Source organism: Homo sapiens, chromosome 9 (assembly GCF_000001405.40).
Source record: "Homo sapiens chromosome 9, GRCh38.p14 Primary Assembly".
NCBI lineage: Eukaryota > Metazoa > Chordata > Mammalia > Primates > Hominidae > Homo > Homo sapiens.
Window position 1 is genome coordinate 129,070,221 of NC_000009.12, and position 22,724 is coordinate 129,092,944.

The window sequence follows — 22,724 nt, forward strand, 5'->3', positions numbered from 1 at the left end:
GCCTGACACCAGCCCTGCTCCCCCAGCACCAGATTGTGCAGTACCTGAGGGACATGTTCGACCTGGACAATGTGCGCTACACGTCACTGCCCGCGCTGGCAGACGACATCCTGCAGCTGTCCCGGCGCCGCAGCGAGATATTGCTGGGGTACCTGGGGGTGCCCGCGGCCAGCAGCGCAGGCGTGAATGGGGCGCTGCCCCGAGAGAATGGGCCCCTGGGGGAGCTGCAGTAGAGGCGGCACGGGCTGGGGGGTGGCAGAGAGAAGGCTCCTCCTCCCTTCCCTGGGTTGGTATCTGACAGCTGTGGTGGCTGAGGGCCGTTGCCCCTGACTTTGCCCCACCCCCATCATCTGGGAGTCCCCAAGGCCCAGAGGGGACATTTCCATGGAGAAGAACGGTTCCTGGGGGAAGCAGAGGCCAGGACCAGTGGGGCCTGTGGGAGAGAAAGGCTGTGAGAGAGGGGGTTGTTGTGGAGAATTGGGACAGGCAGAGCCAGGATGCCCCAGGTGGGGGACCCCAAAACCTCCCATCGCTCCAGGGCTGCTGACAAGGGTGCTGGGAGGGTGGAGGTGAAGGATGGGGCCTAGAGCCCTGTGGTGAAGGTCACAGTGTCCTGAGCTAGAAGCCACCTGTGGCTATATGGTCTCAGCATCCAGCTGGCCTGTCCTGATGCCCTCCCCACCTCAACCGCCTTCTCAGAGAGTTTGCAACTCCAGAGAAGGAGAGTGGGGCCACCTTAGTGGGCAGCAGGCCTGGGCCATCCAGAGATGGGGCAGAGGTGGGCCTCCCACTCCTGTGCTCTCTTCTGAGCAGGAACTGGGCCCTTGACAGTGTCCTTTGACATTCCCTCGCCCTACCAAAGATCGTCTTTTCTCCTCCCACCTCTGTCACCACCAAAGACGGGCGGAGGTGGGGCTGGGCCCTCCTGCCCCCGCCCATCCCCCTTCCATGAGCCCAGACCTCCCTGGGTGGTGCTAGGCTCTGAGCTGGGGGCTCAGACCAGGGATCGCTCAGGCCCCTGTCACCTGTGGGCCCGGGGACCACTTGGGGGAGGTCAGAGGATGTATGTGGCCGGACCAGCTTCCCCACCTTCATTAGGACAAGAAACTGCCCAGCACTTTGCCTTCAGTTCAACGCACAAACGCTCCTGGGGCCTCATGGGGGCAGAGCCTCCCCTGGGCCTGCAGAGAGTCCTGTTAGCAGCGACGTCCCCCCGCCGCGGGGTCCTGTCAGCCCGGCAGTGTCTTCTCAGTGTCTTCACCTGAGCGAGTGTCTGTGGCCCCAACGCGTTCTGCTGTGGCTCTGCCCTTTCCAGGTTGAGAGGCCTGCAGGAGAAACACACTCCCCTCCTGGGTTTCCACACTCAGGAGGTCAGAGGACTGGCTCCTGTGACCAGGGCCCCTCTCCCCTGAATGGGAAAGGGGTCTGGGGATGGGAGGGCGCACCACAGAGAGGAGATGATGCTGGGTGTGGCCCATCTTCTGTGGGCCCCTTCCCAGACACCGGATCCATGGGCACTAACCCGCCTCCCAGGCTGATGCCCGGAGGCAGCTTCCTGGGCAGGAGGGTTCCATGGGCACTAACCCACCTCCCAGGCTGATGCCTGGAGGCAGCCTCCAGGGCAGGAAGGACCCTGTGCTCCCCGCCCCCCATCCTGACATCCTGTTCTTTTGCACTTACCCTGTGCTGTGAATGTAACAGTGGGCCTTGGCCCCGCCCACTCTGATTTGCATTTTCATTTGTGTTTGTTTACACATCCATGCACTGCCTGTAGCAGTCGATTGTCACAGCTTCGACTTTTGGATGGTAGAGTGTGTGCACTGACTGTGAGTCGAATAAACAATTGAGACGATTTCCTTCCACTTTGCCATGTTGTTGGTTATGTGCATGGCTGTTTGCTTCTTGGGGCAGAGCAGGGCACCTGCTTTTTGGGGTGCCGTGGGTGAAGGTTCCAGGAGGACAAAGGTCAGGAGAAGCCTGGTGGGGGCTGTGATCCTACTTGGGGCAACTTGACTGCCTGACAGGATCCAGCCATCCCTAGGCAGGGAGGGCCCCGGTGGTCCGCGGGGAAGGGTGGGGAGCGGCCAGTGCCACGCTCAAGGCCATGGATGCAAGGTGGGCAGCCTGGCTGTGGACCCTGCTCAGGCACCATCTTAGGGAAGTCGATTCTCACTGGCCCTCAGTTTCCACATCTGTAAAATGCAGGCACTGGACCGGGCCAAGATGCAGACTCACAGGCTTAAAGGTTGTTACCCCCCAAGCTGTGAGAGCCAGGGGGAGGGGCTGGAACACTGGGAACAGGTCCAAGCCTGCCGGATCGTTACAAGTTTTCATGGGCAGCTGGAAATCACAAGTTTTATTTTACAGGTTTTTAAAAAAGAAACTTTAAAAAAAAATTTCAAATGTATGGAAAAATTGAAAAAACTATATAAAACCAACACTTCTGGTCATGTAATTAACATTTTGACTTTTTTTTTTTTTTCTTGAGACAGAGTCTCGATCTGTCACTCAGGCTGGAGTGCAGTGGCACGATCTCAGCTCACTGCAAGCTCTGCCTCCCAGGTTCACGCCATTCTCCTGCCTCAGCCTCCCGAGTAGCTGGGATTACAGGCACATGCCACCATGCCCAGCTAATTTTTTTGTATTTTTAGTAGAGACGAGGTTTTACCGTGTTAGCCAGGATGGTCTCGATCTCCTGACCTCGTGATCCGCCCGCCTCAGCCTCCCAAAGTGCTGGGATTACAGGCGTGAGCCACCGCTCCCGGCAACATTTTGCCATGTTTATTTCATGTATTTCCAAAATACTTTAGCCTAAGTTTCAGACATGTACTTTACTCTTAAACCTTTAAGCAGAGCTTAAAAACAAGGTAGTCACATTCTTGTAAGTGGGAGTTGAATGATGAGAACACATGGACACACTGCAGGGAACAACACACACTGGGGCCTGTCGGAGGGCAGGGTGTGGGAGAAGGGAGAGCATCAGGAAGAACAGCTAGTGGATGCTGGGCTTAATACCTAGATGATAGGACTGCTGGACACAGTGGCTCACGCCTGTAATCCCAGCACTTTGGGAGGCCGAGGCAGGTGGATCACTTGAGGCCAGGAGTTTGCAACCAGCCTGGCCAACATGGTGAAACCCGTCTCTACTAAAAATACAAAAACTTGGCCAGGCATGGTGGCGGGTGCCTGTAGTCTCAGCTGCTTGGGAGGCTGAGGGACGAGAAGTGCTTGAACCCGGTGGGCAGAGGTTGCAGTGAGCTGAGATCACACCACTTCACTCCATCCTGAGTGACAGAGCGAAACTCCATCTCGAAAAAAAAAAGAGAAAAAAAAACCTAGGCGACAGGATGATGTGTGCAGCAAACCACTGTGGCACATATTTACCTATGTAACAAACCTGCACATCCTGCACATGCACCCCTGAACTTAAAAAACAAAAAAACAAGGTCATTCTCCAGAATAACCACAATACCATGATCACACCTAAAAAAAAAAAAAATTCTCGGGGCCAGGCACGGTGGCTCATGCTTGTAATCCCAGCAGTTTGGGAGGCCGAGGTGGGTGGATCACCTGAGGTCAGGAGTTTGAGATCAGCCTGGCCAACATGGTGAAACCCCATCTCTACTAAAAAAATACAAAAATTAGCCAGGCATGGTGGTGCATGCTTGTAAGCCCAGCTACTTGGGAGGCTGAGGCAGGAAAATCATCTGAACCCGGGAGGCGGAGGTTGCAGTGAGCCGAGATCACACCACTGCACTCCAGCTTGGGCGACAGAGCAAGACTATGTCTCAAAACAAACAAACAAACAAACAAAAATAATTTTCTAATGTCTTTGCTGAAAATAAGAGCTTTTCCCAATCAACTGGGGATGAACTCCATCTCAAAGAAGGATAAATGCTTGAATCTTAGAGATTTTAGAGACATGAGCTGATACAGTAGCCACCTCCAATGCTGGCAAATGTTTGTTTTGGTCTTTTTTTTTTGGAGACAAGGTCTCATTCTGTCACCCAGGCTGGAGTACAGTGGTGTGTGATCTCAGCTCACTGCAGCCTTGACCTCACAAGACTAAGCAATCCTCCCGCCTCAGCCTCCCAAGTAGCTCACCGCCACTCCTGGCTAAGTTTTGTATTTTTTGTAGAGATGGGGTCTTCCTGTGTTGCCCGGGCTGGCCTTGAACTTCTGAGCTTAAGCAATTCCCCCTCCTTGGCCTCCCAAAGTAGGAGGCATGAGCCATTGTGCCCAAATTGTTTTGGTTTGTTTTAAACAGTTTTAATAAGGTATAATTCATACATCATAGATTCACGTGCTTTAATGCTGTTTTAAATAAATTTACAGAGGTGTGTACCAATTACCTCAGTATGGTTTGAGAACATTTCCATCACCCTATGATGCCCACTTATAGTAAATCCCCCAGTCCCAGGCCAGCATCAAGCTACTCTCTGTGTAGACTTGCCTTTTCTGGGCATTTGCTGTAAATGGAATCATCCAATAGGCGGCCTTTGTGGTGGGCTTCTTCAGGTGGAAGCATGTTTTGGAGGTTTATCCATCTGTGGTACGTTTCAGTATTTTATTTCCTTGTTGCTGCACAGTATTCTGCAAATGACCTTTTCCTCTTTTTCTTTCTTTTTTTTTTGAGGAGTGTTGCACTGTCACCCAGGCTGGAGTGCAGTGGTGTGATGTTGGCTCACTGCAACCTCTGCCTCCTGGGTTCAAGCGATTCTCCTGCCTCAGCCTCCCGAGTAGCTGGGACTACAGGTGCCCACCACCAAGCCTGGCTAATTTTTGTATTTATTTTTTTTTTTTTGAGACAGAGTTTTGCTCTTGTTGCCCAGGCTGGAGTGCAACAGCGCCATCTGGGCTCACCGCAACCTCCGCCTCCCGGGTTCAAGCGATTCTCCTGCCTCAGCCTCCCGAGTAGCTGGGATTACAGGCATGCGCCACCACCCTGGCTAATTTTGTATTTTTAGTAGAGACGGTGTTTCTCCATGTTGGTCAGGCTGGTCTTGAACTCCCGACCTCAGGTGATCCACCCGCCTTGGCCTCCCAAAGTGCTGGGATTACAGGCGTGAGCCAACGTGCCTGGCGATTTTTGTATTTTTAGTAGAGGCAGGGTTTTACCATATTGGTCAGGCTGGTTTTGAACTCCTGACCTCATGATCCGCCCACCTCGGCCTCCCAAAGTGCTGGGCTTACAGGTGGGAGACACCATGCCTGGCCATCTCTCAGAGGTTTCTACAACCGAAACTGTCACTTCTAGTTTGACATCACAGGGATCCAGGGCTTCCACAGCCTCCACTGAAATGGCAGTTTCCCGAGGGTGGCACCCAGCTGGCTATGTTCACTCTTCATCCCTGATGCCCACACGTGGTCTGGCATGACTGAGGAACTCAAATATTTCCTGAAGTCAACAAATGAACCTCCAACCCAGAAGGCAGCATCACCATGTTTGGGGAAAGAGGCTGTATTACTCTGTTTTCATGTTGCTGATAAAGACATACCCAAGACTGGGTAATTTATAAAGAAAAAGATGTTAATGGACTCATAGTTCCATGTGGCTGGGGAGGCCTCACAATCATGGTGGAAGGCAAAAGGCATGTCCTGCATGGCAGCAGGCAAGAGGGAATGAGAGCCAAGCGGAAGGGGGAACCCCTTATAAAACCATCAGATCTCGTGAGACTTATTCACTACCATAGGAACAGTATGGGGGTAACCACCTCCATGATTCAATTACCTCCCACCGGGTCCCTCCCACAACACGTGGGAATTATGGGAGCGATAATTCAAGACGAGATTTGGGTGGGGACACAGTCAAACCATATCGGAGGCCAAGAGAGGGAGAGAGCCTTGTTTCCTAAGGGCTTGCTGGGACCCTGAGCACAGACCAGCGTGGCTGGGGTGCGGTGCAATTAGACTCTGTACCTCTAATCTCAGGGCCACCTTGTCTGTGAACTCCCTGCCAGAGGAAAGTCCAGAGGTAAAAGGCCAGACCCTGCCCTGGGACAGCTCTGGAAAAGCCTGGGTTTCAGAGCTTGTCTGATAACCTATGGAGCAGTGGGAGGAGGTGGCCAGCAGTTTGGTTCATGAGACGCAGGAGGTTCTGAACCTGGGCCAGGAGGCCGTGGCAAACAGTGTGCCACTCTGAGCCTCGCCATCCTCAGCTACAAGCTGGGCGCACTTAGGGCTGCCTTGCAGGGCTGTTGTGAAGGTAACAAGAAGGACGCAGCACCTCTCAGGATGCAGAGCCGGCGTCGAGAACATCACTGGTCAAACCCTCAGCTCAGAGAGAGGAGGCAGGCAGCTCGGGCAGCCTCCCCTGGGGCTTCTGGCCATATTCATGCCTGCACCGCCCAGCCCCTGTCCAACAGCTGGGTCCGACTGTGTCACCTCGTCCATCTCATGGGACCCTGCAAGGGTTCCTAGGCACGTCTCCCTCAGAAATGAATCCACAGCTATGATTCCACAGGTACGAGTCCATAGCCGTGCACAGGTTCACAGCAGCAATACTTCTAACACCCCAAACTTAGAAACACCCAAATGTCCATCAAGACTAGAATGGGGGCCGGGCGCAGTGGCTCACATCTGTAATCCCAGCACTTTGGGAGGCTAAGGCGGGAGGACTGTTTGAGGTCATGAGTTCGAGACCAGCCTGGGCAACACAGTGAGACCCTGTCTCTACAAAAAATAAAAAAAGACTAGAATGGGAAATAAACTGTGGAATGTTCACACCATGGAATACCGCACAGCAACGAGAGGAAGCAAATTTCCACTGGAGGCCGCAGCATGGCTAACGCTCACAACCATAATGTGAGTGAAGAAGCCACATACTCAAAAACTGCAGACTGTAGGCTTCCGTTGACAGAAATTCCACAATCCAGGCCAGGCTCCGTGGCTCAAGCCTGTAATCCCAGCACTTTCAGAGGCTGAGGCAGGTAGATCATGAGGTGAAGAGATCGAGACCATCCTGGCCAACACGGTGAAACCCTGTCTCTATTAAAACTACAAAAAATTAGTTGGGCATGCTGGTATGCACCTGTAGTCTCAGCTACTCGTGAGGCCGAGGCATGAGAATCGCTTGAACCCAGGAAGCGGAGGTTGCAGTGAGCTGAGATCACGGCACTACACTCTAGCCTGGGCGACAGAGTGAGACTCCGCCTCAAAAAACAAACAAAACAAAACAAAAATGAAATTACACAATCCAGCCAAACTGAAGGTGTGGTGTCGGAAGTTGGAAGTCACCTGGGGTGACTGGAGGGGCGCCAGGGTTCCTAAGTTCCTGGTTCCTGATGTGGGGGCTGCTTATACAAGTGTGCTTAGTTTATGAAACCACATCAAGCTGTATACATTCGATTTCTGAAATTTTCTGTATGAAATATTTACATATACATATATATGTATATATATATATTTTAGACAGTCTTGCTCTGTCACCCAGGCTAGAGTGCAGTGGCACGATCTCGGTTCACTGCAACCTCTGTCTCCCAGGTTCAAGCGATTCTCCTGCTTCAGCCTCCTGAGTAGCTGGGACTACAGGTGCATGCCACCACACCCAGCTAATTTTTGTATTTTTAGTAGAGATGGAGTTTTGCCATATTGGCCAGGCTGGTCTTAAACTGCTGACCTCAAGTAATCCGCCTGCCTTGGCCTCCCAAAGAGCTGGGATTACAGGAGTGAGCCACTGCACCCAGCCATGTATATATATATATATATATATTTTTTTTTTTTTTTTTGAGACAGAGTTTCACTCTTGTTGCCCAGGCTGGTGTGATGTCCGCTCACTGCAACCTCCACCTCCACATTCAAGCAATTCTCCTCCCTCAACCTCCCAAGTAGCTGTGATTATAGGCATGTGCCACCATGCCTAGCTAATTTTTGTATTTTTAGTAGAGACGGGGTTTCACCATGTTGGCCAGGCTGGGCTTGAACTCCTGACCTCGGGTGATCCACCTGCCTCGGCCTCCCAAAGTGCTGGGATTACAACCCAGCCATATTTTTGAGACAGGGTCTTGCTCTGCTGCCCAGGCTGAAGTGTAGCGGCAGGATCACAGCTCACTGTAGCCTTTACCTCCCCAGCTCATGTGATCCTCCCATCTCAGCCTCCCGAGTAACTGGGACCATAGGTGTGCACCACCATGCCTGGCTAATTTTTAAAAATTTGTTTGTAGAGATGAAGTCTTGCTGTATTGCCCAGCTAGTCCTGAACTCCTGGGCTCAAGCGATCCTCCCGCCTCGGCCTCTCAAAGTGCTGGGACTACAGGTTTAGTCACGGTGCCTGCCCTGAATGTTCTATTTTAAACAAGAAAACCAAACCAAACCCAACAACAAACCCATCCTTCAGAGCTTCCCTCTGTCCCCACCATTAACAGTGCCCTCAAAGTTTCGGGTGGTCAGGCCCCTGTGGGCCTCCTCCCCACCACCTTACCCCTTCTTTCCCTCTTGCCCACTTCATCCAGCCACACGCGGGCCCCAGGACACTGGCTTACACTGTTCTCTCTGCCAGGAAAACCCTCCCTGGGTAACTCCCTCTCATTTCATAGTTCCTCATCCTCATCCTCCCTCGGGAGGCTCCCAGCACTGACAGGCCTGCATTTCATGGACTTTGCTCCCAAGGCCTATTTGGGAGCGGCAATGTGGCCCAGATCATGGATGGCTGTCCTGTCCCAGGGAACTATTCTGAGAAGCTCCCGGCCCGCTCCTCACACCTCCTGCTTCTCAGAGGCTAATAATGACAGTGCCTGAGGAAACCGAGGCCAGCTGACCCCGACGAGCCCAGGCTGGGAGTGCGCACAGCAGGGCAGTGGGCCTTCTGGGCTCTTTGGTGGGTTCTGAGTCGCCATCATCTCCGGCCACACAGGCCAGCTCACGGTCCCCGCTCTACTGGCCTGGCCACTCGCAGAAAGAGCCACTCTCAGTGGGATTTCCTGGGTAATTCTCAACTCACCTCAGGGGCGCTCGTGTCACTTATCAGACACTTGCTCTAGGTCTGGTCTGGACCAGGCTCAGGATGTACCAGGCCCTGTCCTCATGTTGCCCAGGGTTTCTCCAGTGGTGGCTGTAACCACCTGTATCAGAACCACCAGAGCACATAAGAATGCAGACACCTGGGCTCCAACTCAGACCTACTGGATCAACCCAGGCCCCATTGTGACCCAGGAATCTGTGTTTTCTACAGGCTGATCTCAGCACTCCATGAATCTGAGAGCCGCTGCTGACTGGGAGGGATAGGGAGCCGATTACAGTCCAGTGAGGTCAGGGCTGAGAAAGGACAGGAAATGCAACCGTGAGAGCCCAGTACTGGCCCCTCACTTGACTGTGGAAACCTGTAAGCCGAGGAGACACCTGAACCAGATTGGGCCGGGCAAAGTAGGGCAGGAGAGGCAGTACATCCCACGCAGCAAAACAGCACATGGTGGCCAGGGGCGGTGGCTCACACCTGTAATCCCAGCACTTTGGGAGGCCGAGGTGGGCGGATCACGAGGTCAGGAGATCAAGACCATCCTGACCAACACGGTGAAACCCCGTCTCTACGAAAAGTACGAAAATTAGCCGGGCGTGCCACTGCACTCCAGCCTGGGCAACAGAGCGAGACTCCGTCTCAAAAAAAAAAAAAAAAAATTAGCTGGGCATGGCGGCTCACGCTTGTAATCTCAGCATTTTGGGAGCCGAGGCAGGTGGATCACCTGAGGCCAGGAGTTCGAGACCAGCCTGCCCAACATGGTAAGACCCGGTCTCTACTAAAAATGCAAAAATTAGCCGGATGCGGTGGTGCGCGCCTGTAGTCACAGCTACTCGGGAGGCTGAGACAGGAGAATCACTTGGACCCAGGAGGCTGAGCAAGATCGTTCCACTGCACTCCAGCCTGGGCCTCAGAGCAAGACCCTGTCTCAAAAAACAAACAAACAGACAAAAACAGCACATGCTAGCGGCAGGAGACAAGAGGCTGAGCCCTCCCAGCCCACCTTACCTGCACTGTAATCCAATCCAGCCAGAGACAGAGTCGGGTAGGAGAGGTGAAGGCGGGTGGGAAGGTGTGGCTGTTCACGCAGGAATGTCTTGGGAAAACTGAGGGGTAGGTGGAAAACCGACTTCTTGTTTGAAATGCTCCCAAGACGCCTCATTAAGTAGCATAGACGTGACTGAATCAATAAATCTTTATTAAATGAATGAAAGGAGGAAGGAGTCCTTAACTGTAGCTAAGCTTCCACTCTTAAGTATCAATTAAGCTTCTCTGTTCAGTCCAGCGTTTAGGGCGCCTACTGCGCGCCCCGCCCCACACACTTTTGACAAAAAGGTCGCCTGCTCTGTGTGACTTGCCCTTTCGCCGGCCAGTATGGGGCAGAGGGAAATAAGCCCCCTCTGCTCTCTGGTCTCAGTTTACTCGTAACTGAAAGTGGGTCGGTTCAAACCCCCTGGAGCTGAGGTTGCCTCTCCTCTTCGAGCACGCGCTATCGGACGCGCAGGTCCCCAAGACCGCGGATCGGCAGGGGGTACCAGGGAAGCCTTCATTCAGGGCGCAGGTCCCAGCCGAACCAAAGCTCCCACCAAAGTTCAACACGCCCCCAAAGCCAGCGCCTGATTGGCCCGCCCTGCCCACAAGCTGAGGCAGCCTCACCTTCTGATTGGCTGTTATGCTCCCTGTTCGGTGCTGGAACCCTCCCCTTCTCTGATTGGCCAGATGCCTACCTGCGCTCGCCCCAGATTGGGCGCCAGCTGGGGCGGCTCGTTGGCTCCCAGGGGCCCCGCTCTCTGATTCGCCGCTCGGGCCAGCCCCCACGGCCTGCACGCTGAATGGCTGCGCCGCTACCTATATTGGCCTCCGATTGGGTGCACGGCGCCTCCCCGGCGTGATAGGTCAGGACCACCGCCCCCCTGGCTCCCCATTGGCTGCTCGAAGAAGCCCGGTCTCCGGGTAAGATGGCAGCGGACGGACAGTGCTCGCTCCCCGCTTCATGGCGGCCGGTGACCCTCACCCACGTCGAATATCCTGCAGGTAAAAGGCGGTCCCGGCTCCAAGGACGCCTTCCCAGGGACGGCCTCTCAGTCCCGGGCGCTCCGGCCTGCTCGAGCCCGCGGAGGGGGCGCCGGGGGACCGGGGTGGGAACTGTCAAATAGTGAACCACGGAGGGGCTCGGCCGGCGCGCGCGCCGCGCAGGCGCAGTGGTGCGAGGATGAGCTGGGCGAAATTGTGAGGCGCTCGCTCGCGCACTCTGCGGCTGCGCGGCCAGGGCGCTCCCCCGGGTCCCGGGGCGCCGGTGGGCTGAAATGGGTTGAGGATCTGTGTGAGGCGAGAAAAGATCCCTGGCCTGGACCTTGGCCCTTCTTCCCCGCCCTCCCCTGTCCCAGAGAGGCCGCACTCCTGTTCCAGCGTGCAGGGAGTGTCTTGTTTCCTTCGAACAGTGCTTTGGGCTGCTTGTAAGAGAAAGAGCTCCCCGTTGCTGGGAGTGTGCAAGCCGAAGCCAGGCTTTTGAGTACTTGTGGTGCCACGCCCTGAGCAGGGCACGATTCCACAACAGAGAGGACCCGATGAGGGGGCGGGCAGCCTCCGGGAACTTGACTTCTGTTGCTTCCCATCAGACACACCTCTCGAAGTGCAGGGCTTTCCAGTTGAGAGGTCCATTAGCGGCGTTCTGGAGGCTGTCTAGTAAGAGTGGCGCAGAGCCTGGGCGTGGGGGTCAGACCCATCTGGGCTCCAGTTGAGGCTGAGGCCTTGTGCAGGTGCCTGCCTCTGCTTAAGTTAATTCATCTCTAAAGTGGGACTGATTACAGTGCTTACCTTCTGGTGATGGTATGAGCATCAAATAGCAGGAGGCACAAGAAGGGCTGAGTACAGTGCCCGGCATGCAGTAAGCGTTCAGTAAATACCTGCAGTTAATGTTATCCCACCTTGCAAGACCCTCCCTGGGTAAGATGGTTGAGTGCCAGGGAAGGCTGGAGCCCCTCATTGAGCCCTGGTTGCCTGGGAAGGGCCTGCTCATGCTGCTGTCTTGCGAGATGTGAGAACCTGGGTCCGCTGAGGGCACCAGGACTGAATGCCAAAGAACGTTGACGCTGGTGTTCTGGGTTGTACTGGGGGTGGTATGGCCCTGCCAGGTCCTGGGCCCTGCCTGCCTGCCTGTCTACCATTCATTCATCCATTCATTCATTCAGTCAATATCCACTGAACACTTCTGAGTGCTAGGCCCTGGGCTAGCTCTGGTTTTTAGAATGCTTAACAGGCCTGAAATATCCCTGCATTCCTGCACTATGAAAACCAGCTGCTTTATAAGAGGAAAGCCAAAGCCTGGAGGTGGGGAAAGACTTGCTAAGGCCTCTGCACCTTCACAGCTTCCCCTCCTGGCCTCAGAGTAGCTTCTTGGAGTGCTCACAATCCAACAAGCCAGAAGGAACCTGGCAGGCAGTTGTGTGCAGCATGATACAGGCTGTGATGGACCTGGCTGAGCCTGGAGCATCTGGTGAGGTCTAGTCCCCTATTAATGCTTCCATGGTTCCCTGCACTTCTCCGTCACACCCCTCTTCACACCGTCACTTGCTTACTTCATTCATTCAACAGTTTTTGAGCCCAGTTAAGAGCCAGGCCCTGTGCTGGGCTTGGGGGATAGAGTGGGATATAAAGAGACCCTGTCTCTACTCCCAGATGCTGTCCTGATATCTACATTAGTGGATCATGAACTGAGTCTGGATGGCAGATTCTCCCGTCAGACCTCAAGCTCTGCACTAGCAGGGACATATGTGTCTTTTTTTTTGCCACTGTGGTGGGTTCTTAGTTGTTTGTTGAGTTCACCCAGAGAGCGTCCCAGGTGGGGGGAAACTGTGTGCAAAGGTCCAGAAGTAGGACAGGGCACGATGCGCTCAGGGAACTCGAGTTTGGTCCTTGGAACTGGAGCAGAGGTTGAGAGGGAAGCAGGGCCAGGACTGTGCAGGGCCAGATGAGCTGGGCTGAGGGGGAACTTGTCCTAAGGGCAGTGGGAGGCCTGAGGGGGCTTGGATCAGAGAGTAGAGAGGCCAGAGTCCCTGGTAGCATCTTCAGGAAAACCCCAGGGTAGTGCTGGCTCTGGGACAGGCTATGGAGATGGCTAAAGCTTTGGGGGTACCAGTCACTCACTATCTTCATAGCCCAGTGCTGTGAGGGTGAGCTTCATAGTGGAGAGGCCCAGGAAAGAGAAGGGACTCACCCACTGTCACCCAGTGGGACTGTGGCAGCACCAGCACTTGACCCCAGGCACTTAGCTGGGCTGCTCTGCTCTCCCAGACCAACTCCAGGCCAGTCTGATCCTGGGTAGGATGGGCTGGGTAGGATCCTGTGTGTGGATGAGACCGGGCATGTGTGTGTCTATGTCTTCAGCCCTGGAATCTGGGCTCAGCCCTCTGTGGACAACTTCCCTGCTGCTTGTGTGAGGCTGGTGGCATGGACCATTTCCCACACTGGGTTCTCTCCACCTCTGCCCCAACATGGAAGTGTCCTGGTTGCCAGGGACCAAGCTGGGTGTCTCACAGGTCCCATCTCATTGAGTCTCATGCAGCTGTAGGAGGTAGGCACTGATATCCCTATTCCACAAGTGGGTGAGCTGAGGCTTGAATCCTTGCCTCAGTTCATGCAGCCAGTGAGTGTGGGCATAGGAGCTGAACCATGCTCTCAGACCCCAGAGTGGCTACATAGCTGCCTGTCTCAAGTGGTGAGGGTGGCCTTCAGACTCAGCCTCCCCTGCCCTTGGATTCTCAGCTTGAGTGTCCCCATCTCCTAAAAGGGGCCAGTGTTCCTCTGCTGCCTCCATCCCAGGAGTGATGGGAGTGTCAGAAGCTGGTAATCAATAGGTAGGCAGTTTCCTGCCAGAGAAGTGGCGCGCAGCTGTTACCGTCGCCCTATTGGGCTTGGTTTCTGTCCGAGTCTTCAGTGTGGACCCAAGTCTGTGTGGTGTCCAGAGAACGTCGGATTTCCCTGGAGGCCCAGGGCTCAGCCAGGGCAGCCCCAGCACAACAGTGTGTGGCTCTCATGTGCCTGCCGGGCTGCCTCCCAGGTCCCAGGCTCCACCTCTGGAGTCACCAGGCCGGGTTCACCTTCCTGCTTTGGCAGGAGGGATTGGTCTAGTGTCTGGAACAGGTCAGAGACTTGGACTTTAGTCCTGGTCCCACCTCCTTCTGGCTGTGTGACCTTGGGCGAGTCACATAGTTGCTCTGGAATTCAGTTTCTTCATCTATAGAATGGGAACAGTGAAGGCACCTGCTTTAAACGCATGCTGTGTGCACTTTAGTGCTAAGTAGTAGACAGCATCACGTATGGCTGTGACTGAGTTGGCACAATCGGCCGGTAAACAGGTGTCCCTGGCTGCCTGGCCTCCATTCTCCAGGCCCTGCCGGGACCTCCTTTCTGGATCAGGCCTTACTTGTAGGGGGCTGGTCCCTCTTCTGATGCCTGTGCCCTGTCCTCCTGATTCTGTTCTCTGTCTTGCCAGGTGATCTCTCTGGCCACCTCCTTGCCTACCTGAGCCTCAGCCCTGTATTTGTCATCGTCGGTTTCGTGACCCTCATCATATTTAAGCGGGAGCTGCACACGGTGAGTCTGTCTTGCCCACACCCTCCCCACCCCACCCCCAGTGCCCCCACCCTGCTTTGGGAAGCCCGTCCGCCCCTCAGTCCAGGGTTCTCATCCCTGCGTCCACCTGTCTTGAGGTGCGTGGAGCCTCCTGGCTGGTTCTAGGTTACTCACCTGTTGGGCTGGGAGGTTCAGTCAGAGGCCATGGTCTTTGGGACTAGGTAGCAGCCAACAGGTGCACAGAGGCCCAGCTGACCATGCGTCTTCCCCAGCAGATCTCCTTCCTTGGGGGCCTGGCACTGAACGAGGGGGTCAACTGGCTGATCAAAAACGTCATCCAGGAGCCACGGCCCTGTGGAGGTAGGGCCTCAGCTGCGAGGGCCTGAGGTTCCCCCAGGTTGGGGCGTTACTGGGAGGTCTGCATCCCCCCGTGATGCCCTGGTCTCCTCTCTCTCCCAGGCCCCCACACAGCAGTGGGCACCAAGTACGGGATGCCCTCCAGCCATTCCCAGTTTATGTGGTTCTTCTCCGTCTATTCCTTCCTTTTCCTGTATTTAAGGTGAGTTTCCACCCCGGTCAGGATGGCCCTGAACTTGCTCAGGCCGAGTTCTGCTAGGGACTCACTGCTAGCCCTTTGGATGCCCCTGGGGTGGGAGGGGCTGCAGCGGAGGCAGAAGGTACCCAGGGAGCATTTGGATGGGGCCAGGGACTGTTTGGGAGGCCTGGGCTGGGCTGTGGGCTGAGGTCATCTGGTGGGCCTGTTTTCGCAGAATGCACCAAACAAACAACGCCAGGTTCCTGGACTTGCTGTGGAGGCACGTGCTCTCCCTGGGACTCCTCGCTGTGGCCTTCCTAGTCTCCTACAGCAGGTATGGAGGAGGGAGAGCCCCTGCCTGCACCCTGCCCATGTGGGGTCCTGCTGGTTCCTGGTCCCTGTCGGACCCCACCATGGACCCTAGTCCCAGAACCTGTAGTGCAGGACTGGAAAAGGGGTCCCAGACCTCTAGTTTTAAAAGGACAGGGCTCCAGCTGCCTCTTCTAGCCCAGTCCGCACTGAGCCCAAGATTCTGGGACCAACTCCACGTATCAGCCATCTCTTCCCAGCGTTCCGGAGGAGCCCACTGTAGACAAATTCAGAGGTCAAGGGCTAGATGGGAGGCAGGCAGATCCCAGCTGGCCCTTCACTGCTACAGATGGGAGAGCTGTGTTTGGGGTCCAGCGCCCTCCCACTTGGAAATGGATCTGAGGCTGTGCCCCGTGGAGTCAGTGTCCTGTCTGTGTCTCCACATGTGTGGGCACAGGTCCCTGGGAAGCTGGCACATGGGCAGTGGGGATTGTGCGGGCCTGTGTCTGACTGGCTCTCACATACTTCGCTTCTGGCCTTGGCCCAGGGTCTACCTGCTGTACCACACCTGGAGCCAGGTGCTCTATGGAGGCATCGCTGGAGGCCTCATGGCCATCGCCTGGTTCATCTTCACCCAGGAGGTCCTCACCCCGCTGTTCCCCAGGATAGCAGCCTGGTAACTGCCTCCTGCCTTCCTGGGCACTGTGGGCCCTGTCCCCTCCTGTGGGTGGGGCCATCAGTGGGCGGACCTAGGAGTCTTGACCCCAGCCCCTGTCTCCCTGGGAAGGCCCCAGTGCCCCAGGGTTTGTGGCAGAGACACAGGGGGTTTCCTCAGGCCCGGAAGCCAGAGTGCCATCCTCTGTCCTCGCCTAGGTTCTCAGGGACTTAGAAGCCTGAGTCCTGCTGGGCTGTGTGTGCCGTGGGACAGTGCCCCTGCCTGAGGTGACACAGGTGACATAGCTGGGTCTCTCAGTGGCTCTGGGGTCTCAGGCCAGGCAAAGACTCTAGGCAGTCGGGGCGGGTGCCGTGCCAGCCCCGGGCAATGGTGGGGATGGCTGGCATGGTAACAGACTCATGCCCTGATGTGCCCCTGGCTCTCTGATGTCTGTCTCTCCAGGCCTGTCTCCGAGTTCTTCCTAATCCGAGACACAAGCCTCATTCCCAACGTACTCTGGTTTGAGTACACGGTAACCCGGGCAGAAGCCAGGTGAGTTCAGGGGACAGCAGTGCTCACTGGGCCAGCCACAGGCAGCCTCTGCCTCCATGTTTGGAGGGCTCTCCGGGAGCCTCGCGCCTGCCTAAGCACTTCTCTTGCATTAACTCATTGAATCCTGCTGTGACCCCCATTTTGCAGATGATGAAACTGAAGCTTGGAGAAGAGAAGTCACTTGCTCGAGATCTTGCAGATAGTGGGTGGGGGAGCAGGGTGGTGAACCCAGGCTGTCTGGCCCAGGGCCCATGCTTTTAACCTCTGCAGCCCAGAACCAGAGAGCTGGGCAGCTGAGGTTCTCAGGGCTCCTGTGTGTGGACATCCCTAGGGATTAGTCCAGATGCTTTCTTAGGCCTGGGTAAACTGAGGCACATTGAGTTAGGAGGCCAGCCTGTAGTTGTGCAGCAAGTCAGGACAGAGCTGAGCTTTGGAGACTCCTGACTCATGCTGTTTCATTCACCCCAAATCCTGGGTGAGGTTCTTAGGGGAGTGGGAAGGCTGGCTTTTCTTTTTTTTCTTTTTTTTTTTTTTTGAGACGGAGTCTCGCTCTGTCGCCCAGGCTGGAGTGCAGTGGCGCGATCTCGGCTCACTGCAACCTCTGCCTCCCTTGTTCACACCATTCTCCTGCCTCAGCCTCCCGAGTAGCTGGGACTACAGGCGCCCGCCACCACGCCCGGCTAATTTTTTGTATTTTTTAGTAGAGACGGGGTTTCACCGTGTTAGCCAGGATGGTCTCAATCTCCTGACTTTGTGATCCACCCGCCTCGGCCTTCCAAAGTGCTGGGATTACAGGTGTGAGCCACCTCGCCCGGCCGAAGGCCGGCCCTTCTCTGGGTTCAGAGGGGAGCTGAGGCTCCACAGGAAGCCTGGGAGGTTTCTAGGCAGGCTGAGAGGGACTGTGGGGCGGGGTAGGGTGGGGCGTCCTAGCAGCCAGGAAACGTGTTTAGTGCATCAAGGTCCAAATTATCCTAACGAGCTTAAGGGCAAAGCCGGGGATCCATGAGGAAAGGGGATTGGAGGGGGTTAGGGCAGGCAATCCTATTAGAGGCAGAAAGGTCCCAGCTGGCCCCGCTGATCTCTCACTGGCCTGCCCCGCCTCACCCTGCCCTGCCCCGCCTGGCCGGCCTCCACCTGCCTTCATTTACCAAAATCTCAGGGCACACCTGTTCTGTGCCAGGCTGTGTGCTGGGGGCAAGCACAGTGACAGCCATGGTCCCCTGCTCACTGTGTTCACGGCAGGCAGGGAAGAGCTGCGACGCACCTGCCTATGTGATCAGTGCTGTGGCCTGACAGCTTGTGTCGGGAGCCTATGTGGGGACGTGGGAGCTGGGGGTGGGGGGAGGTGGGGGGGGATGGGGGGATGGGGAGGGTAGGGGGGTGGGAGGGTGTTGTGGGGGTTGGGGGAAACGTTCTCAGCAGAGGGAAGGGCATGCACAACTCCTGAAGCTGACAAAGCTTGGTGACTGCACCAGACGGAGGCTGCCGGGGCTGGAGCCCAGGGAGCAAGGGGTGTGTTGTGGGATGAGGCTGGGGACAGATCACACAGGACCAGTCAGGTTTCTAGATTTTAACTGGGACCCTAGACAAACCCCATTCTCCTCTACTGAGTCTCTGTCAGCCCCTCTAGAAAATGGGGGTGATTGGCCCTGGTTCCCTCAGGTTCCTGGGCTCACTCTGGATATAGCCACAGCCCAAATTGGGTGCTCAAATCCCCTCAGTAACCTCCATCAGTAGTTCTCCTGCTTTCGCTTGCATACCTCCCGGATGGGGAGCTCACTACATTTCTGTACTTCTGTTTTGATCAATAACAACTGAGCCCACTTGTGCTGCCTCGTCTATAAAGCGAAACTCCCCATAACTAATTGGAACCCAGCCAGGTCCCTCTTGCCTCTGTAGTCTCATCCTGGTCCCTACCCCTGCTCCAATCCCCTGGCTCCACTTCTGGGATTGCAGAGCTGAGATAACTGAGGTACAGGCCTCGCCGGGGAGATCAGCCCTGTCTAGGTGCCATTCCCAGGGCAGGTGCTCTGATTGGCCCAGTTCAGGTCAATCGCTGGCTACTGGGTGTGGGCATTTGCCTACTTAGTTGGGACTACGGGTGGGGTGGGGACAGCTGTAGGTCACTGAACACCAGATGTCTCCACATCTGACCCCCATCCTGTTTTGCAGGAACAGACAACGCAAGCTGGGGACGAAACTGCAGTGACCAGTGGGTGTGGCTGGGTCCAGCCTCCAGATCTGGCCCGCACGATGCCTTGCAGGATGGACAGGATGACAGACAGGGACGAAGCAGAGACCTCTACAGACCCAAGTCACCAAGTGGAGCCTTTTTTTTTCTTATTTTAATTTTAATGAACAAGGTGGACCAAAGGGCTGAACCAGCCCCTCAACCAGGACCCTGGGGGGCCTGCTGCCTGGGGGCCGTGGCCAGAGACCCTCGCTGTGCTGCTGCCAGCCCCTGGCTGGGCAGAAAGTGCCCTCGGCATGGGCACCTGGGTGTGGGGTGGAGGAGGAGGGCTCGCGCCTCTGGTCTCGGGGCCAGGAATTCCAGGTGGCGTGAGAAGTACACACTATTTATTTTTTGGTTTTGTCAGAGGCAGGCAGGATTTTGGAGCTGGAAGAATCTGCTCTCCGGTGGCTGCCCTGTGAACAGAGGGCTCCCGGTCAGCTTCCCAGGCCCTTCGCCCTATGCCCAGAGGGCAGACTGCCTCTCCCTGGGCCGGGGTGGCCTGGGTGCCAGGAGGAGGGGAGCATACCCCACACCCTCCCTGCCACCGTTGCCGTTCCAGAACCTCGGTCAGTGTTTCCCTGTCTGGGGGCAGGGCCCAGAGCGAGCACGCGTCTGGCGGCTGCTGTCGTTGTGTTCTACCCCGTACTGACCCAACACCACAAGGGCTTTCTCTGGTCCCCTGTCCCTAAGACAATAATCGCTTTCTGACAAAGGAGCCTGCACATTTGGGTGAGCAGACCCAAGCTGTTTACAGCTCTTTCTTGTCCTGCCATCCAGTAGCAGTTAGTCTTCATCCCCACGTGAACAAAATGGGAAGGAGCCGTGAGGAGAGGAGTGAGGCAACAGGCACCCGAAGTCCCTCGTCCTTCCCTCTGTGTGCTCTGAATATGTCCTTGTCCTTCCTGACCCATCTCTGACCAGCTGGGAACCTGCTTGGGGTCCCCCTCAAACCTGTGTCTGGGGTGTGGGCTCACAGATCCCTATCAGCCTGGTTCGTGGGAGGGCTCTTCCTAAAGGGACCCCCATCTCTAAGTCACTCTGAAAGGGAGTTGTGGAGAGGAGACGCCTCCAGACTCTCAGAAGTTTTGAGGACTGAACTGGGTCACTCGGGATCTGTGTTCGAATCCTCCCCACCCCTTTCTTTGTGGAGTTTCCTAACCTGCTGCTGAAGCACAATGTTTTGGTGCTTTCTTTTCTCATTTGTTAAAGGCAGTGTCCAAAAGCCATTCCAGATGCCAAGACCAGGGGCTTATTTCTAGGGAAGGTAGGTCGGTTTCCATGTTTCCCTCCCGTTATTTTTATTTTTTACTTTTTGCCTGAGACAAGCCGAGTATGAGGTGGTTTGATTTAAGAAAAATCAATGAAATTGTTTACTACTGTTTTAAAATAAAACCGTAAACTCTGGCAGCTTGAGCACTTGCTGATTGAGCTCAGGAGAGGAGATTGGGGCAGCTGTGGGGACACATGACCCTTAGGGGCAAGGATACGGTGAAGACCATAAAACCAGAAGTGATCTAGTCCCTTCTAGCCCACAGCAGGGGTCTGAATGACCTCTGCGGCATTTCCTGTCAGGGTCTGTCCAGCTTCTGATTACATCCCTCCAGGGGACCTCACTGAGGGCCACCATACCAAACCTGGACACTCTCAGCCTTAGGAAGTTTTCCTCTTTTCACTGTCAGTCTCCCTCCCTGTGTGGCGCTGGCCCTCCTCTCACTGAGCCTTGTTCCTCCTCTGTGGGACAGCCTTGAGGACTCAGGGGCAGCCAGTGTGCCCTTCAGAGTGTGCCAGGATAAACATCTCCACTTGGTCTGACACAGTGGCTCACGCCTGTAATTTCAGCACTTTGGGAGGCCAAAGGAGGAGGATCATTTGAGCCCAGGAGTTTGAGACCAGCCTGGGCAACGTAGCAAGACCCTGTCTCTACAAAATATTTTTTTAAAAATGAGCTAGGCGTGGTGGTGCACACCTGTGGTCCTAGCTACTCGAGGGGCTGAGGTGGGACGATCGCTTGAGCCCGGGAGTCAAGGCTGCAGCCAACTGTGATCACACCACTGCACTCCAGCCTGAGAAAAACCCCATCTCAAAAACAAATATATGTGGACAAAGATGATCAAATATAAAAGGAAAAAAGACACCATGATGGAGCAGCAGCAGAAAACAGATAATAGAAACAAACCCACAAATTCTTCAAATACTGGAATGATTAAGCAGACTGCTTTACTATTTTTTTTTTGAGATGGAGTCTTGCTCTGTCACCCAGGCTGGAGTGCAGTGGCGCGATCTCAGCTTGCTGCAACCTCCGCCTCCTGGGTTCAAGCAACTCTCCTGCCTCAGCCTCCCCTGGCTAATTTTTTTTGTATTTTTAATAGAGATGGGGTTTCGTCATGTAGGCCAGGCTGATCTCTAACTCCTGATCTCAAGTGATCCACCCATCTCGGCCTCCCAAAGTGCTGGGATTATGGCATGAGCCACCACGCCCAGCCTGTTTTACTATTTTTAAAGAGAACACCAGGCACGGTGGCTCACGCCCATAATCCAGAGATGGGCAGATCACTTAGGGTCAGGAGTTCGAGACCAGCCTGGCCAACATGGTGAAATACCATCTCTACTAAAAATACAAACATTAGCTGGGCATGGTGGCACACGCCTGTAGTCTCAGCTACTCGGGAGGCTGAGGCAGGAGAATCGCTTGAACTCAGGAGGCAGAGGTTGCAGTGAGCCGAGATCGCGCCACTGTGCTCCAGTTTGGGTGATAGAGTGAGACTCCCTCTCAAAAAAATAAATAAATGGCAATATCTGCAGGGAACAGGAAACTATAAGGCGAGCCCTGGCCTCGAATCATAGCTAAAAAACAAGGATCCGAGAGGTAGATTTAACAGCAGATGAGAGAGAGTTAAAAAGGAAAAGCAAACTGGAGGGTGTGTCAGAAGACATCCCGGCTGCAGTGTGGAGTGGGAAAGCTACCGGGAGCAGCTTCAGGCGCACCCGCCCCCGCTAACTCATCGCCTTCACTTCATCCACACTCACCTGCTTACCCTGACCCCGCTCCAACCTGCCCAAGGTGCGGTGCTGGGCAGAAGCCCAACTCTTCAAGCCCTCAGAAGCCTCTTTGAAATATCCACTTTTCGCGGCTGGGCGCGGTGGCTCACGCCTGTAATCCCAGCACTTTGGGAGGCCGAGACGGGCGGATCACGAGGTCAGGAGATTGAGACCGTCCTGGCTAACACGGTGAAACCCCATCTCTACTAAACAAAATACAAAAAATTAGCCGGGCGTGGTGGTGGGTGCCTGTAGTCCCAGCTACTCGGGCGGCTGAGGCAGGAGAATGGCATGAACCCAGGAGGCAGAGCTTGCGGTGAACTGAGATTGCACCACTGCACTCCAGCGTGGGCGACAGAGCGAGACTCCGTCTCAGGAAAAAAAAAAAAAAAAAGTTCATGCCCGCTGGATGTACAGACTTTCCGTAAAGCCACACGTCTATTTCTCTTGAATTCATTAATCTTATTAGGCTGGGCGTGGTGACTCACGCCTGTAATCCCAGCACTTTGGGAGGCTGAGGCAGGCCTGAGGTCAGGAGTTTGAGACTAGCCTGGCCAACATGGTGAAACCCTGTCTCTACTAAAAGTACAAAAATACTGGGTGTGGTGGCACAGGCCTGTAATCCCAACTATTTGGGAGACTGAGACAGGAGAATTGCCTGAACCTGGGAGGCAGAGGTTGCAGTAAGCTGAGATCGCACCATTGCACTTCAGCCTGGGTGACAAGAGTGAAATTGTCTCAAAAAAAAAAAAAATTTATTACTCATTCAAATGTCAAATGATGCATTGCTCAAGATATACCAATTCAGAAGAGCTTTTTTTCACTCATTTTGCAAAAACGAATCACGTTTTTCGTCTGCATCACTGGCGCCAGA

General features: G+C 55.0%; 2 protein-coding genes across 12 annotated transcripts in view, besides 3 other annotated features; both read left to right on the forward strand.

The window, feature by feature from the left end:
* The window catches only part of MIGA2 (mitoguardin 2), a 35,457-nt gene extending 33,595 nt beyond the window's left edge, over positions 1 to 1,862 (forward strand). For all 9 annotated transcript variants that reach the window (NR_138421.2, NR_138423.2, NR_138425.2 and 6 more), the window contains one exon: positions 27 to 1,862. Coding sequence is in view for 4 of the 9 variants with exons in the window: in NM_001329990.2 (NP_001316919.1) it covers positions 27 to 233 (207 nt within the window). In the remaining 5 variants the exon portion in view is untranslated. The remainder of the gene's footprint in view (positions 1 to 26) is intronic.
* Positions 624 to 1,573: an enhancer, noted in NCBI's record as "NANOG-H3K27ac-H3K4me1 hESC enhancer chr9:131833123-131834072 (GRCh37/hg19 assembly coordinates)". NCBI's record gives its function as "activates a minimal SCP1, AML or CMV promoter by ChIP-STARR-seq in naive H9 embryonic stem cells {active_cell/tissue: H9 hESC(naive)}" and the evidence as "EXISTENCE:reporter gene assay evidence [ECO:0000049][PMID:30033119]".
* Positions 1,574 to 2,523: an enhancer, noted in NCBI's record as "NANOG-H3K27ac-H3K4me1 hESC enhancer chr9:131834073-131835022 (GRCh37/hg19 assembly coordinates)". NCBI's record gives its function as "activates a minimal SCP1, AML or CMV promoter by ChIP-STARR-seq in naive H9 embryonic stem cells {active_cell/tissue: H9 hESC(naive)}" and the evidence as "EXISTENCE:reporter gene assay evidence [ECO:0000049][PMID:30033119]".
* Positions 10,589 to 11,318: a silencer, noted in NCBI's record as "silent region_20359". NCBI's record gives its function as "represses an Ori minimal core promoter by ATAC-STARR-seq in GM12878 lymphoblastoid cells {active_cell/tissue: GM12878}" and the evidence as "EXISTENCE:reporter gene assay evidence [ECO:0000049][PMID:35858748]".
* On the forward strand, positions 10,891 to 20,218 carry DOLPP1 (dolichyldiphosphatase 1). 3 transcript variants are annotated; one of them, NM_020438.5, is made up of 8 exons: positions 10,891 to 10,987; positions 14,448 to 14,548; positions 14,803 to 14,887; positions 14,987 to 15,086; positions 15,298 to 15,396; positions 15,919 to 16,047; positions 16,489 to 16,578; positions 18,751 to 20,218. In NM_020438.5, the coding sequence occupies exons 1-8, from the start codon at positions 10,912 to 10,914 to the stop codon at positions 18,785 to 18,787; spliced, it is 717 nt and encodes a 238-aa protein (NP_065171.2). In that variant the 5' UTR covers positions 10,891 to 10,911; the 3' UTR covers positions 18,788 to 20,218. The 3 variants fall into 3 exon arrangements, 2 of the variants coding, with proteins under 2 accessions (NP_065171.2, NP_001129389.1); NM_001135917.2 differs by lacking the exon at positions 15,919 to 16,047; NR_072983.2 differs by lacking the exons at positions 14,803 to 14,887; positions 15,919 to 16,047.
* Positions 20,219 to 22,724: the final 2,506 nt, after the last annotated feature.